This window comes from Homo sapiens, chromosome 10 (genome assembly GCF_000001405.40).
Source record: "Homo sapiens chromosome 10, GRCh38.p14 Primary Assembly".
NCBI classification, from domain to species: domain Eukaryota; kingdom Metazoa; phylum Chordata; class Mammalia; order Primates; family Hominidae; genus Homo; species Homo sapiens.
This window is the reverse complement of record NC_000010.11, coordinates 17711552-17726952: the sequence shown is the minus strand read 5'-3', so window position 1 is coordinate 17726952 and position 15401 is coordinate 17711552. Positions and strand designations below refer to the sequence as shown.

General features: G+C 39.3%; 1 protein-coding gene across 10 annotated transcripts in view; it reads right to left on the bottom strand.

Annotated features, from left to right (window-relative positions):
* Nucleotides 1-10128: 10128 nt before the first annotated feature.
* Nucleotides 10129-15401, bottom strand: part of STAM (signal transducing adaptor molecule) — a 72674-nt gene continuing 67401 nt past the window's right edge. For 9 of the 10 annotated variants that reach the window (NM_001324284.2, NM_001324285.2, NM_001324288.2 and 6 more), the window contains one exon: nucleotides 10129-12410. In NM_001324284.2, the coding sequence (NP_001311213.1) occupies nucleotides 12173-12410 (238 nt within the window). In that variant the 3' untranslated portion in view covers nucleotides 10129-12172. Of the gene's footprint in view, nucleotides 13685-15401 lie in introns of all 10 variants that reach the window. The other variant, XM_011519695.4, reaches the window with a different exon arrangement.

The following is a 15401-nucleotide window of genomic DNA, read 5'->3' as shown; positions in this document are numbered from 1 at the left end:
ATTTACAATACAAATTAATGAAACCATTTTTTCATGAGCCATCCACCTTTTATAGAAATGAACTTGTTATAATGGTTCCTCTAAGTGAATTTACCTGTATTCCTGATTACAACTTCTTCAGTCATTTTCAGCCACTCCTTTACAGGGTATTATGTTTTTAAATTACAGAATATCAAAGATACTTATATCAAACCCTTCTTTTCTCTGGAGAAATAGAAACAAATTCTGAAACAGTAAACAGATTTTTTTTCCATTTTTGGTTCAGAGAAAAATAACCATACATGGATGTCTCACGTAAATTTTCCTATTTTGCATCTTACCTGGCTAACAGACAATATCACCTATAATTAACCGAAAACATTCTTAACTGTTTATACAGCATATCTTTTTCTAAAGTAACAAGATAATGTGATCACCCTGCAGTTAAGAAACTTGATGTATCCTGCCATAGAAACAACTGATTACAAACATTTATTCTACTTTTTAAATGCCATTAACCAACTGAAACAAGTCCCAAACTAGTTCTTTAATAAGCTGACGGCATATGTTACTGTAATGTGCATGTGTTTCAAAATTGACTGTGTTTATATATTTTATTCAGTCTGCTTCCAATTTAGTTACCAACTTGAGGAAAATAAGTAACAATGATAACTTTTAAAAAGAAAGGGCTTTCCCTCCCCTTCAGTGATTTCCCTATTTTAACAGAAGGTTATGACTAGGGTCATGAGAAGTCTTTCAAAACAAACGTGCCAAAATGTTTGCATCTAAAAACATAGAACTCTATTTGCTGGTTACATTTCTAGAGTTACCTAAAAGCCATCCAGAGTGAATAAGGTGGGTATTGAACAAATGGAGAAAAGCTGAGTAGGGTTTGAATGGGGAAAGGGCACAAATTTTCTGCAGCTTCTCTGAATGCAATTCAAGATGAAGAACATAAAAGTGTACTGAGCTACGGCAGCATCAATGGCTTGAGGATACAGGCTATCACAGAGCAGCTACATGTTAGGGTTAACAACGTTCCTTTATGTGTGCAGCTTCCGATGCAAGCCTGAAAAATCTAATCTGATTACCTCTAACCAGAACTCATCTGGTTCTGACGTAATTCTTTTAGGAATAAGTACTACAGTAGAGGCAAAGAGAATAGAGCATCAAGTCAGAAATCCAGAACGTAAGAAATTCTACGATACAACTGGCAGGGGTGTTTAAAAAGTCAATGTCGTGGAGCATCAGGGGGAGATGACAAGATTAACCCAGATTAGTAGAGAATCAAAGGACATTAGAAGTGTGGGTATATATTCCTGGAATGGATCCTGGATTTAAAATATATACATATCTATAAAAGACAGTTTGAGGGACATTCAATAACAATATATTACAGAATTACTGTTAATTTTCTTAGATGTGAAAATGGTTTAGGTTATGTGGGAAACTGTCCAAATCCTTACAAGACGTAAGATGAAGAACTTAGAAATATGGTTTACAATGTTTATAATGTGTCAGTTCACACAATAAAGTATGTGTGTATATACATAAGAACACTCCTATATATATATATGTATACACACACACACGTGCATATATAAACATACACGAGATAAAACAAACGTGGCAAATTTTTAATGATTAGCAAATCTAGATGAATAGTAATTAGATGTTCAGTGTTATCACTCTTCCAATCTTTCTGTAAGTATGAAAATTTCCCAACAATTTTTTGAGAAAGTACCACTTAAAGTAACAGATACTTACTTCAAGGGACCAACTTAGTAACATTCTACATCCCCTGCCTGTTTAATCTTAGCCTCTCAACAAAGTGGTCTCCAAATCAGGTTCATACATCCTAGGGCACAGAGAAAACAAACCACTAAGATATAGAAAGAAAATACTTAAATTTCTATTAATAACTTTTTATCTCACCCTTTTAAGATTTCTATTTTTTGGTGTGTTTCATAATGTACAATATGCTTTTATATAGTAGAACTTGTAAAATTTGTGAATAAATATATATACATATTTTTAAGGCTACACACTCAAAAAATTTGTTACTCATCAGGGTATCTAATCAAAAAATTTGGATACTACTCTTCTATAAAACAGACATGACTTTTGCTAAGTCTCTGACCACCAAAAGACCATTAAAATCAGTCCCTTTTGCTTTTATCCAGGGGTTTACTGACTCTTAATAATTTATTATCAGAAATTCTAGGTGTAACAGCAGCAGCAAAAAGACAGTAATGACAGTGGTAAGTGTTAGCAGATGCCAGGGAATCAGAGAACTGGCAAAGTGTAGTTTGGCCACAAGTTAGCACCAATAAAATGTTCAATTTTGTTCATCAAGGAAATCTAGAGTTTTAAATACTGAAATACTGAGATTTAAAGTGTTCTAGAACATCATAGGGAAGAGCATTTTTGAAGCCTGGAAATTTTCAGAAAAAGATACTATCAAGTACTAAGTAATTTCGAAAGAAGACCATTCTAAGGAAGAATACAGATAATACAATGAAGGCAGCTTTGCTTAAAAACGTGGGCGTGTGGTGGGCATGTCAATATAAAGAATACAGAAAACAACCTAGGTAATTGATAAGAACACTTAATGGAATCATGATGCTAAAATAAAAGATAATTGAACATAAGGCCTTTGAGAAATATTTAGGTAAGTTTCTTCTATATATTTTATTCTAAGGCGTACAAGTAGTTAATCCAAAAAAAGAAATAAAAAGGAAAACGATACAAGTGAAAACTTTATAAACCATAGCTTTGTTATTAAATATTTTTAAAATGATGTAACAGAAGGCAAGCTATAATTATTAGAACTGGAAAGTAAACCAAGAAAATAGATGAGAAAAGAAAATGATGACTTCACTGTATATTAAACAGATGAAAATTTGAGCAATTATACCAATAAATTTCATTTTGGAAAATAATTTCCATAATTTTTTTATACTTTAAGTTTTAGGGTACTTCTGCACAATGTGCAGGTTAGTTACATATGTATACATGTGCCATGCTGGTGTGCTGCACCCATTAACTCGTCATTTAGCATTAGGTATATCTCCTAATGCTATCCCTCCCCCCTCTCCCCACCCCACAACAGTCCCCAGAGTGTGATGTTCCCCTTCCTGTGTCCATGTGTTCTCATTGTTCAATTCCCACCTATGAGTGAGAATATGCAGTGTTTGGTTTTTTGTTCTTGCGATAGTTTACTGAGAATGATGATTTCCAATTTCATCCATGTCCCTACAAAGGACATGAACTCATCATTTTTTATGGCTGCATAGTATTCCATGGTGGATATGTGCCACATTTTCTTAATCCAGTCTATCATTGTTGGACATTTGGGTTGGTTCCAAGTCTTTGCTATTGTGAATAGTGCCGCAATAAACATACGTGTGCATGTGTCTTTATAGCAGCATGATTTATAGTCCTTTGGGTATATACCCAGTAATGGGATGGCTGGATCAAATGGTATTTCTAGTTCTACATCCCTGAGGACTCGCCACACTGACTTCCACAATGGTTGAACTAGTTTACAGTCCCACCAACGGTGTAAAAGTGTTCCTATTTCTCCACATCCTCTCCAGCAGCTGTTGTTTCCTGACTTTTTAATGATTGCCATTCTAACTGGTGTGAGATGGTATCTCATTGTGGTTTTGATTTGCATTTCTCTGATGGCCACTGACGGTGAGCATTTTTTCATGTGTTTTTTGGCTGCATAAATGTCTTCTTTTGAGAAGTGTCTGTTCAAGTCCTTTGCCCACTTTTTGATGGGGTTCTTTGTTTTTTTCTCATAAATTTGTTTGAGTTCATTGTAGATTCTGGATATTTGCCCTTTGTCAGATGTGTAGGTTGTGAAAATTTTCTCCCATTTTGTAGGTTGCCTGGTCACTCTGATGGTAGTTTCTTTTGCTGTGCAGAAGCTCTTTAGTTGAATTAGATCCCATTTGTCAATTTTGGCTTTTGTTGCCATTGCTTTTGGCTGGAGAGGCAGCCAAGATGGCCAAATACGAACAGCTCTGGTCTACAGCTCCCAGCGTGAGCGACGCAGAAGATGGGTGATTTCTGCATTTCCATCTGAGGTACTGGGTTCATCTCACTAGGGAGTGCCAGACAGTGGGCGCAGGACAGTGGGTGCAGCGCACCGAGCGCGAGCTGAAGCAGGGCGAGGCATTGCCTCACTCAGGAAGTGCAAGGGGTCAGGGAGTTCCCTTTCCTAGTCAAAGAAAGGGGTGACAGACGGCACCTGGAAAATCGGGTCACTCCCACCCTAATACTGCGCTTTCCTGACGGGCTTAAAAAACGGCACACCAGGAGATTATATCCCGCACGTGGCTCAGAGGGTCCAACACCCACAGAGTCTCGTTGACTGCTAGCACAGCAGTCTGAGATCAAACTGCAAGGCAGCAGCAAGGCTGGGGGAGGGGCGCCTGCCATTGCCCGGGCTTGCTTAGGTAAACAAAGCAGGCGGGAAACTCGAACCGGGTGGAGACCACCACAGCTCAAAGAGGCCTGCCTGCCTCCGTAGGCTCCACCTCTGGGGGCAGGGCACAGACAAACAAAAAGACAGCAGTAACCTCTGCAGACTTAAATGTCCCTGTCTGACAGCTTTGAAGAGAGCAGTGGTTCTCCCAGCACGCAGCTGGAGATCTGAGAACAGGCAGACTGCCTCCTCAAGTGGGTCCCTGACCCCTGACCCCTGACCCCCGAGCAGCCTAACTGGGAGGCACCCCCCCAGTAGGGGCAGACTGACAACTCACACGGCCGGGTACTCCTCTGAGACAAAACTTCCAGAGGAACGATCAGACAGCAGCATTCGCGGTTCATGAAAATCTGCTCTTCTGCAGCCACCGCTGCTGATACACAGGGAAACAGGGTCTGGAGTGGACCTCTAGCAAACTCCAACAGACCTGCGCTGAGGGTCCTCTCTGTTAGAAGGAAAACTAACAAACAGAAAGGACATCCACACCAAAAACCCATCTGTACATCACCATCATCAAAGACCAAAAGTAGATAAAACCACAAAGATGGCGAAAAAACAGAGCAGAAAAACTGGAAACTCTAAAAAGCAGAGCACCTCTCCTCCTCCAAAGGAACGCAGTTCCTCACCAGCAACGGAACAAAGCTGGATAGAGAATGACTTTGACGAGGTGAGAGAAGAAGGCTTCAGACGATCAAACTACTCCGAGCTACAGGAGGAAATTCAAACCAAAGGCAAAGAAGTTAAAAACTATGAAAAAAATTCAGATGAATGTATAACTAGAATAACCAATACAGAGGAGTGCTTAAAGGAGCTGATGGAGCTGAAAGCCAAGGCTCGAGAACTACGTGAAGAATGCAGAAGCCTCAGGAGCCGATGCGATCAACTGGAAGAAAGGGTATCAGTGATGGAAGATGAAATGAATGAAATGAAGCGAGAAGGGAAGTTTAGAGAAAAAAGAATAAAAAGAAATGAACAAAGCCTCCAAGAAATATGGGACTATGTGAAAAGACCAAATCTACGTCTGATTGGTGTACCTGAAAGTGACGGGGAGAATGGAACCAAGTTGGAAAACACTCTGCAGGATATTATCCAGGAGAACTTCCCCAATCTAGCAAGGCAGGCCAACATTCAGATTCAGGAAATACAGAGAATGCCACAAAGATACTCCTCGAGAAGAGCAACTCCAAGACACATAATTGTCAGATTCACCAGAGTTGAAATGAAGGAAAAAACGTTAAGGGCAGCCAGAGACAAAGGTCGGGTTACCCACAAAGGGGAAGCCCATCAGACTAACAGCAGCTCTCTCAGCAGAAACTCTACAAGCCAGAAGAGAGTGGGGGCCAATATTCAACATTCTTAAAGAAAAGAATTTTCAACCCAGAATTTCATATCCAGCCAAACTAAGCTTCATAAGTGAAGGAGAAATAAAATACTGTACAGACAAGCAAATGCTGGGAGATTTTGTCACCACCAGGCCTGCCCTAAAAGAGCTCCTGAAGGAAGCGCTAAACATGGAAAGGAAAAACCGGTACCAGCCGCTGCAAAATCATGCCAAAATGTAAAGACCATCGAGGCTAGGAAGAAACTGCATCAACTAACGAGCAAAATAACCAGCTAACATCATAATGACATGATCAAATTCACACATAACAATATTAACTTTAAATGTACATGGACTAAATGCTCCAATTAAAAGACACAGACTGGCAAATTGGATAAAGAGTCAAGACCCATCAGTGTGCTGTATTCAGGAAACCCATCTCACGTGCAGAGACACACATAGGCTCAAAATAAAAGGATGGAGGAAGATCTACCAAGCAAATGGAAAACAAAAAAAGGCAGGGGTTGCAATCCTAGTCTCTGATAAAACAGACTTTCAACCAACAAAGATCAAAAGAGACAAAGAAGGCCATTACATAATGGTAAAGGGATCAATTCAACAAGAAGAGCTAACTATCCTAAATATATATGCACCCAATACAGGAGCACCCAGATTCATAAAGCAAGTCCTGAGTGACCTACAAAGAGACTTAGACTCCCACACATTAATAATGGGAGACTTTAACACCCCACTGTCAACATTAGACAGATCAACGAGACAGAAAGTTAACAAGGATAACCAGGAATTGAACTCAGCTCTGCACCAAGCGGACCTAATAGACATCTACAGAACCCTCCACCCCAAATCAACAGAATATACATTTTTTTCAGCACCACACCAAACCTATTCCAAAATTGACCACATACTTGGAAGTAAAGCTCTCCTCGCCAAATGTAAAAGAACAGAAATTATAACAAACTGTCTCTCAGACCACGGTGCAATCAAACTAGAACTCAGGATTAAGAAACTCACTCAAAACCGCTCAACTACATAGAAACTGAACAACCTGCTCCTGAATGACTACTGGGTACATAACGAAATGAAGGCAGAAATAAAGATGTTCTTTGGAACCAACGAGAACAAAGACACAACGTACCAGAATCTCTGGGACACATTCAAACCAGTGTGTAGAGGGAAATTGATAGCACTAAAAGCCCACAAGAGAAAGCAGGAAAGATCCAAAATTGACACCCTAACATCACAATTAAAAGAACTAGAAAAGCAAGAGCAAACACATTCAAAAGCTAGCAGAAGGCAAGAAATAACTAAAATCAGAGGAGAACTCAAGGAAATAGAGACACAAAAAACCCTTCAAAAAATTAATGAATCTAGGAGCTGGTTTTTTGAATGGATCAACCAAATTGATAGACCACTAGCAAGACTAATAAAGAAGGAAAGAGAGAAGAATCAAATAGATGCAATAAAAAATGATAAAGGGGATATCACCACCAATCCCACAGAAATACAAACTACCATCAGAGAATACTACAAACACCTCTACGCAAATAAACTAGAAAATCTAGAAGAAATGGATAAATTCCTCAACACATACACCCTCCCAAGACTAAACCAGGAAGAAGTTGAATCTCTGAATAAACCAGTAACAGGCTCTGAAATTCTGGCAATAATCAATAGCTTACCAACCAAAAAGAGTCCAGGACCAGATGGATTCACAGCCGAATTCTACCCGAGGTACAAGGAGAAACTGGTACCATTCCTTCTGAAACTACTCCAATCAATAGAAAAAGAGGAAATCCTCCCTAACTCATTTTATGAGGCCAGCATCATCCTGATACCAAAGACTGGCAGAGACACAACCAAAAAAAGAGAATTTTAGACCAATATCCTTGATGAACATTAATGCAAAAATCCTCAATAAAATACTGGCAAACCGAATCCGGCAGCACATCAAAAAGCTTATCCACCATGATCAAGTGGGCTTCATCCCTGGGATGCAAGGCTGGTTCAATATATGCAAATCAATAAATGTAATCCAGCATATAAACAGAACCAAAGACAAAAACCACATGATTATCTCAATAGATGCAGAAAAGGCCTTTGACAAAATTCAACAACCCTTCATGCTAAAAACTCTCAATAAATTAGGTATCGATGGGAAGTATCTCAAAATAATAAGAGCTATCTATGACAAACCCACAGCTAATATCATACTGAATGGGCAAAAACTGGAAGCATTCCCTTTGAAAACAGGCACAAGACAGGGATGCCCTCTCTCATCACTCCTATTCAACATAGTGTTGGAAGTTCTGGCCAGAGCAATTAGGCAGGAGAAGGAAATAAAGGGTATTCAATTAGGAAAAGAAGAAGTCAAATTGTCCCTGTTTGCAGATGGCATGATTGTATATCTAGAAAACCCCATTGTCTCAGCCCAAAATCTCCTTAAGCTGATAAGCAACTTCAGCAAAGTCTCAGGATACAAAATCAGTGTACAAAAATTACAAGCATTCTTATACACCAATAACAGACAAACGGAGAGCCAAATCATGAGTGAACTCCCATTCACAATTGCTTCAAAGAGAATAAAATACCTAGGAATCCAACTTACAAGGGATGTGAAGGACCTCTTCAAGGAGAACTACAAACCACTGCTCAAGGAAATAAAAGAGGATACAAAGAAATGGAAGAACATTCCAAGCTCATGGGTAGGAAGAATCAATATCGTGAAAATGGCCATACTGCCCAAGGTAATTTATAGATTCAATGCCATCCCCATCAAGCTACCAATGACTTTCTTCACAGAATTGGAAAAAACTACTTTAAAGTTTATATGGAACCAAAAAAGAGCCCGCATCGCCAAGTCAATACTAAGCCAAAAGAACAAAGCTGGAGGCATCACGCTACCTGACTTCAAACTATACTACAAGGCTACAGTAACCAAAGCAGCATGGTACTGGTACCAAAACAGAGATACAGATCAATGGAACAGAACAGAGCCCCCAGAAATAATGTCGCATATCTACAACTATCTGATCTTTGACAAACCTGAGAAAAACAAGCAATGGGGAAAGGATTCCCTATTTAATAAATGGTGCCGGGAAAACTGGCTAGCCATATGTAGAAAGCTGAAACTGGATCCCTTCCTTATACCTTATACAAAAATTAATTCAAGATGGATTAAAGACTTAAACGTTAGACCTAAAACCATAAGAACCTTAGAAGAAAACCTAGGCATTACCATTCAGGACACAGGCATGGGCAATTTCCATAATTTTTATAGTTGCATAGTTTATCGTGTAGGGTGCTAATTTGTCTCACATCAACTTGAAGCTTCGGAAAAAACATGTCTTCAAACTGAATTATACATATCGCATAGGAAAGCTGTATGTATCAGAGAAAAAAGACACTGGTCTATTAAGCATTTTAAATACAAAAACTATGAGGTATAGAAACAAAGCACCAGAAGTACATGAAAAAAGGAATCTTAGGCACATAAAAAGTTCCCTCGCTGCATAGGGAAGATAGGTAACAGTGAAGGAGAAAGACGGAGTTAGAAGAGGCTGTAAAGTCACATTAGGTATGCATTAGAAATCCTCTTACAGGTTCAGGGCACTGGTATAACATCACAGGCCATGGGCCTGTTGGCTATATATGCTAGTTCGTAACTGGATTAGATTTTTTCCATTTACGTGTCACTATTTTACGGAAAACCAATCTCAAATTTTATTTTTTAAAAAAAGAGAAATAGAATTTGCTTCACAGCAGTTTACATTACAGTTATTTATTTCTCACTCTGTCTCCCAGGCTGGAATGCAGTGGCGTGATCTCGTCTCACTGCAACCTCCGTCTCCCAGGTTCAAGCAATTCTCTCGCCTCAGCCTCCTGAGTAGCTGGGATTACCAGGTGCCTGCCACCACGCCCAGCTAATTTTTGTAGTTTTGTAAAGACGGGGTTTCACCATGTTGGTCAGACTGGTCTCGAACTCCTGACCTCAAATGATCCGCCCGCCACGGCCTCCCAAAGTGCTGGGATTACAGGTGTGACCCACTGCGTCCAGCCTATGTTACAGCTAGTTCATTTTATAAATTATTCTATTCCTTCAAAATAAGGACAGCTATTAATGAAAGATTTCTTGAAAGTGCAAGACCTGCAGGTTTCAGAACTTAAAGTCATTCATGATCCTAACTGGCCCCCTCCTATTTCTACCCTCGTCTTGTCATTTGAAAGACAAGCCAGTGCTTCACTTTCATTGGATTTTTTCCCCCTGGTATTTTCATTTTTAATAATGGGAAGGCATAAACTAACACAGTAACAGTTTTAAAGTACTCATCATTTAAACCTTTATAAGGCTAGTAATGTAAAAGGTAAAGAAAAATGTATATGGGTTGTAATAAGGGTAGTTTTTTCTATTCACTGTTACTTGACTTTTATAGGGCAAAAATCATAGTAGAGACTATGTCATTGATTTTCAGCATGAAAGATATCAAAATTAAAATGGGAAAATGATACATTTAACATTGGTAAACAGGAATTTATCAAAAGACAAAGAAAAATTGCAGAAAAGTATATCAGTTAAACCATAATACTCAAATTGGAGTGGAAAAGATTATAATCCGACAGATATTTATCAAAAACTAACTTATAGTATTTAAAATGTGAAATTTGACTTCAGGGCAGGGCAACATATTTTAAACACAGGAAATCAGAACACAACACTTGAGCGAAACACTTAAGTTACCCTTAAGTAATCTTACAGGTGACTAATTTCACAGGCTCAGATTTAAAACTACGGTGCTTTAAATCTGAGTCTGTGAAATTAGTCACCCTTAAGATTACTGGCTAAAGATTTAATCTTCTCTCAAAAAGAAAATAAACAAGCTACCTGATTACAACAGTCTTAGAAAATAAAAATGAAATTTTCATTTATAGTATGAAACCTGTTACATCAATTCATTAAATATGATGTTCGACTCAACTTTTCCGTTGTTTAAATAGTGCTAAAATAATAGTATAGCCCAACCAGGGAAATCGTAAATATTTAAGATTACAATGTCAGTGGAAAACATTTTTCGCATGAATTAAAAGAAAAGCATTCATTTGAAAATATTCCCAAGTAAGAAGCCAAAATAATTCCATTAGAATTTTAAAAGGCCAGAAAGAGCAACCCAAAAATCCAGTGTGAAAGAAAACAATACCTATATAAACGTTAAGCAAAGCCAGGAATGTAGATTACTTTGAAACATCTACTTATTTCCATTTTAATGAAGAATTAAAGGATACAATGTGTTAAAGACATATTTAAAATACTAGCAAGGGATTAGACAGACGAATCAAATTTTGTTGATATCCCAAATAATTACAAGAGACTTCGAAAATGTAGTGTAATTCAGGTTTTCTTTCCAGTTTAAAAATTTCTATCCATTGCCTCTATCTTTGGTGTCACTGCCACCAATAAACACAGTATACAGCTTAGAAACCTAATTACTATCTTCAACTAGGAAAAGGTAAACCAACATCATTTCTTTAAAATGAGAAATAAAGAATGTGATCGTACTTAATTTTGTCTCATGGTCCCACAATACTCTGAAATGTCATGCCAAAATGTAAAAGTTCAAAAGGGAACATTATCATTTGCTATAATTGCACCAAAAATTTAGCTACTGTACGCTGGTGTGATGACAGCCAGTAGTATGCAGAGGCTACAGAAAGACATGTAGATATATATATATACACACACATATATATATATATCTCTTTAGCTCACAATTAGTAAAAGGTTCAGTTTAATGTGAAACTGAAACACACGACAACATAATGCGCCTTCATGTAAATACGCTAACAACTTTGTTTTCTTGAAGTTTAAAAGGATAGTATAATTACCTTAAATTTACACAAAACATTAAGAAACATGGTAGTTGTTTATGATTAAAATAAAATAGCAACGTAAATTAATTTAACACAGTGTTAAATATATTCACACGATCACCACTGTGATTCAAAATGGCCACTAATGCAGTTACATATCAATATATGTACATAACATTTGTCACAACAGTTTTTGTAAGTTTGACTTTCTGCAGACCAGGTTTACGAGACAAATAGCCTTGTATCAATTCTTTCATATTATGAAAGGAATTAAATGTTGTAAGTAGTTTCATTCCTCTGCAGGGGCGGGGGGGGAAGAACCTCTAAAAAGTCAGTGTAAATTGAGGAGAGTTCTACCTTCTTGAATATTTGAACCTGTTGACCTGGAGAGATTCCTATAAGCTGAGGATAAACACATCTTAAGATAGTAATGAATCTCATAACATTGTCAGTGGCATTTAGCAGGTATCTGCCACCAAGAGGAACACCGGGTCCTATAGCAGAGCCTTCTGAGAATATGGTTGCTGTGGCTGAGGTGGCTGTTGGCTGCCTCCGGGCTGAGGCAGAGTTGATGATGTTAAGTTATAGTTTGGCACCTGGGGCATATTAGGTCCTGCATTCTGGTACAGAGTGACATCGGCAGTTGCAGCAGCAGCAGTAGCGGCAGGAGGAGGACTATATACTGGCGCCTGGCTGGGATATGTGTTTCCTTGAACGGAACTGACCATTGTACTGTGGAGGAAGAAAAACACTCAATTACATCAATACTGATTTATAGAGCAACTACAGATAAATGGAAAAGCTATTTACTAAGCATTCATTCATATAGTCAATTCATTTAATAACCTTTTACTAAACAGCTATAATGTGCCAAACATTGTTATTTTAGGCTTTGTGATATCAGGCATTGCATTAAAAATATGTGTGTTATTTAACCATTGTGTAAAAAAAGTTGGGGGGGGTGGTTTGCGGAAATAAGTCTATACCACCATGGAGCGTCTGTTCTAGTGGTAGAAAAGGGTAACAAACACATGTATCGTGTGTCAAGTGGTTCTAACTGGTAAGAACAAAAACAAAGCCCAATACGGAGGACAAAGAGCAGCTGGGGCAAGGGATTCTAGTTTATGGTAGGGTGCCTCTCCAATAAGGCAATACTTAAGCAAAGATGTGGAAAAAGTAAGCGAGTGAGCCAGATAGATTCCCTAGGAAAGTACATTTCAGGTAAACAGAAAGAAGCCTTTGAGGAGAGAAAACACCAAGCATGTTCAAGGAACAGCAGGCCACGAGTGCTGCGGCAGAGGGGGCCGCAGGGGGTGCCGAGGGGAGAGCAGCTAAGATCACCGGCAGGACTGCGGTGGTGGGGAGGGGGCTGGAGAACACACAGCACCTGATGGCCACAATAAGGACTGTAGCTTACACTCTGAGTGAGACAGAAAGACACTGGCTCGTTCTGAGCAGAAGCGTGATAAGATTCCACAGGGTTTAACGGGCTCCCTCTGGACCAGGATAGCTGACTGCAGGTTATTACGATCCACCAGGAGAGAGCCGACCAGCAGAAGAGCCACGGCAGTAATGGTGGAGATGGGAGAAAGGGTCAGAGTCTAGATAGATTTTGAAGATAATGCCTTCAAAATATGATAATGAACAGAAGAGTCCAGAATGCCTGAGGTTTAGAACCTAAAAACTGGTAGAAATAACTGGTAGAGTGGCCATTCACTGATTTTCAGAATACTATGATGGGACCATAGTAGACTCGGGGGTGGGAGGGGTGTGGGGAAGATCAAAGTAATAATCTTGGATCTGTCAAGTTTGATGTCCAAAAAACTGGCAAGCAAAGAGAATGCATAGGCAGTCAGCTATTCAAGCCTGTTGTCCTGCATAGGCAATCAGCTATTCAAGCCTGCTGTCCTGTGGGGAAGTACGGAGGAGAAATACGCATCTGGGAATCCTCGGCAGATCCACGGCATTCAGAATCACCGGGCTTCATGAGGTCCCCTGGGGAGCGGCTGCAAACAGAGAAAAAGGCAGTCCATCTACTGTGCACTGGACCTTGAAGTCCAGAAGATAAAGAGGCAAGAGGCAAATGAGGCTGAGAAGAAGTGGCGGTGAGGCAGAAGGGAAAAGAGAATGGTCACCAGCAAGTGAAGAAAGCATTTCAGAAAAGAGGAGGGAATCACGAACTGTCAAATGGAGGAGGAGGAGAATGGTGAACTGACCGGGAGTCTAGCAGTATGGGCATCACCAGGGTTCTTGACAAGAACGGTCCCAAAGGACTAGTGGAAGGGAAGGCCTCATAACCTCATTTCTTTTATTTCCTTGAAAATACGGAAGCACACGCTCCAACACCACACTGATCAACTCTCTGCAGCTGCACCCCTCACGTACTGAGCTTCCCTACCGCTCCCACCGCTCCGCTGCCAGTACTCCCATCTCAAGTCCCTGCACTTGTGCACTGCTCCCATTAAAAAAAGAAAGAAAAAAATTCTTCAAAGGGTTGTCTTTATCCACTGCCTCTACTTCCTGTCTTCCTGTTTCCAACGGAATACATGCGTTTCCACTGTAAGACACTAGGTTAGCTATGTGAAGAGAAGTACTAAGATGCTGAGAATTCCCCCTACATTTGTATTAAAAATGTAAAACAAGCAATATAAAAAGCAACTGCCAAATTTTCAAAATACTGCCTACTTCTAAACTTTCCTCCAATTGTTATTTATAAATCTATTGTTGGGAAATTCAGTGCTCTTGTACTTGGCACAAATTCATTATTTGATGGTAATTTATTATAAGAGACGGTAATTTAATGCTACATTTCTCCAACTAATGTGGTGACCTAAGGCATTATTTGTCATCACTCCATATGTGTGAGATATAAAGTTGATTAGGAGATGTCAAATTTCATACTATTATTGACAATGGTATGGGCTATAATATTGCCGTAATATAGAGTCTATGCGCTGGGTTCTGGAGTCAGAATGTCTGGTTTAGAATCTTAGCTAAGTGGGACTTCCGTTTTGTCTCCAGGTCTCAGCTTCCCCATCTATAAAATGGGGGTAATAGTTTACCGACTTCACAGGTTATTATGAGGAATAAGTTACTTTGTGTAAAGCATACAGCACAGTGCTTGGAACATACTAAATACCCCTTAAATGTTAGCATTATTGTAATCATTCTCAATTTACAGTTCCACCGTCCACCCAGTTGCCTGGGGCAAAACCATGCAATTCACCAATACTTCTTTCTCTTATCTCTGCACTGAGCTGTCTCCCAACCATGTCACCCAATGTGTAATTATTTGCTAATCTCCTAAATAACTCTTTCCAATTAATAGCACTGTATCTTGCCAACAAATACTCATAATTTCTTGCCTAATATCCATGGTCTCCCAGCTTCTAATCTTGCCCCTATGAATCCATCTACGCTACTGCCATTTAAAGCCCTTTCTGAACTTTTTCATTATCCCTAAGATGGTATCTAGAACAAGCATTCTTCGACCTTGGCAGTGTCTTCAAGTATGTCTCTCGCTGCTCCCCTACACGCTTTCAACCCTTGGTAAGTGTGCTGCTGGAATGCCGATACATACCACGCCTTTCACACCTCCCATCTTTGCTCACTCCATGGGTACCATGCCATTCCAGGCTACCACATCTCTGACGTGACAGAACATCTTCCTCACTTTTTTTCTACTGGCTAAGAATAACCCTCTTGGAAAACTTCCTCAAACCC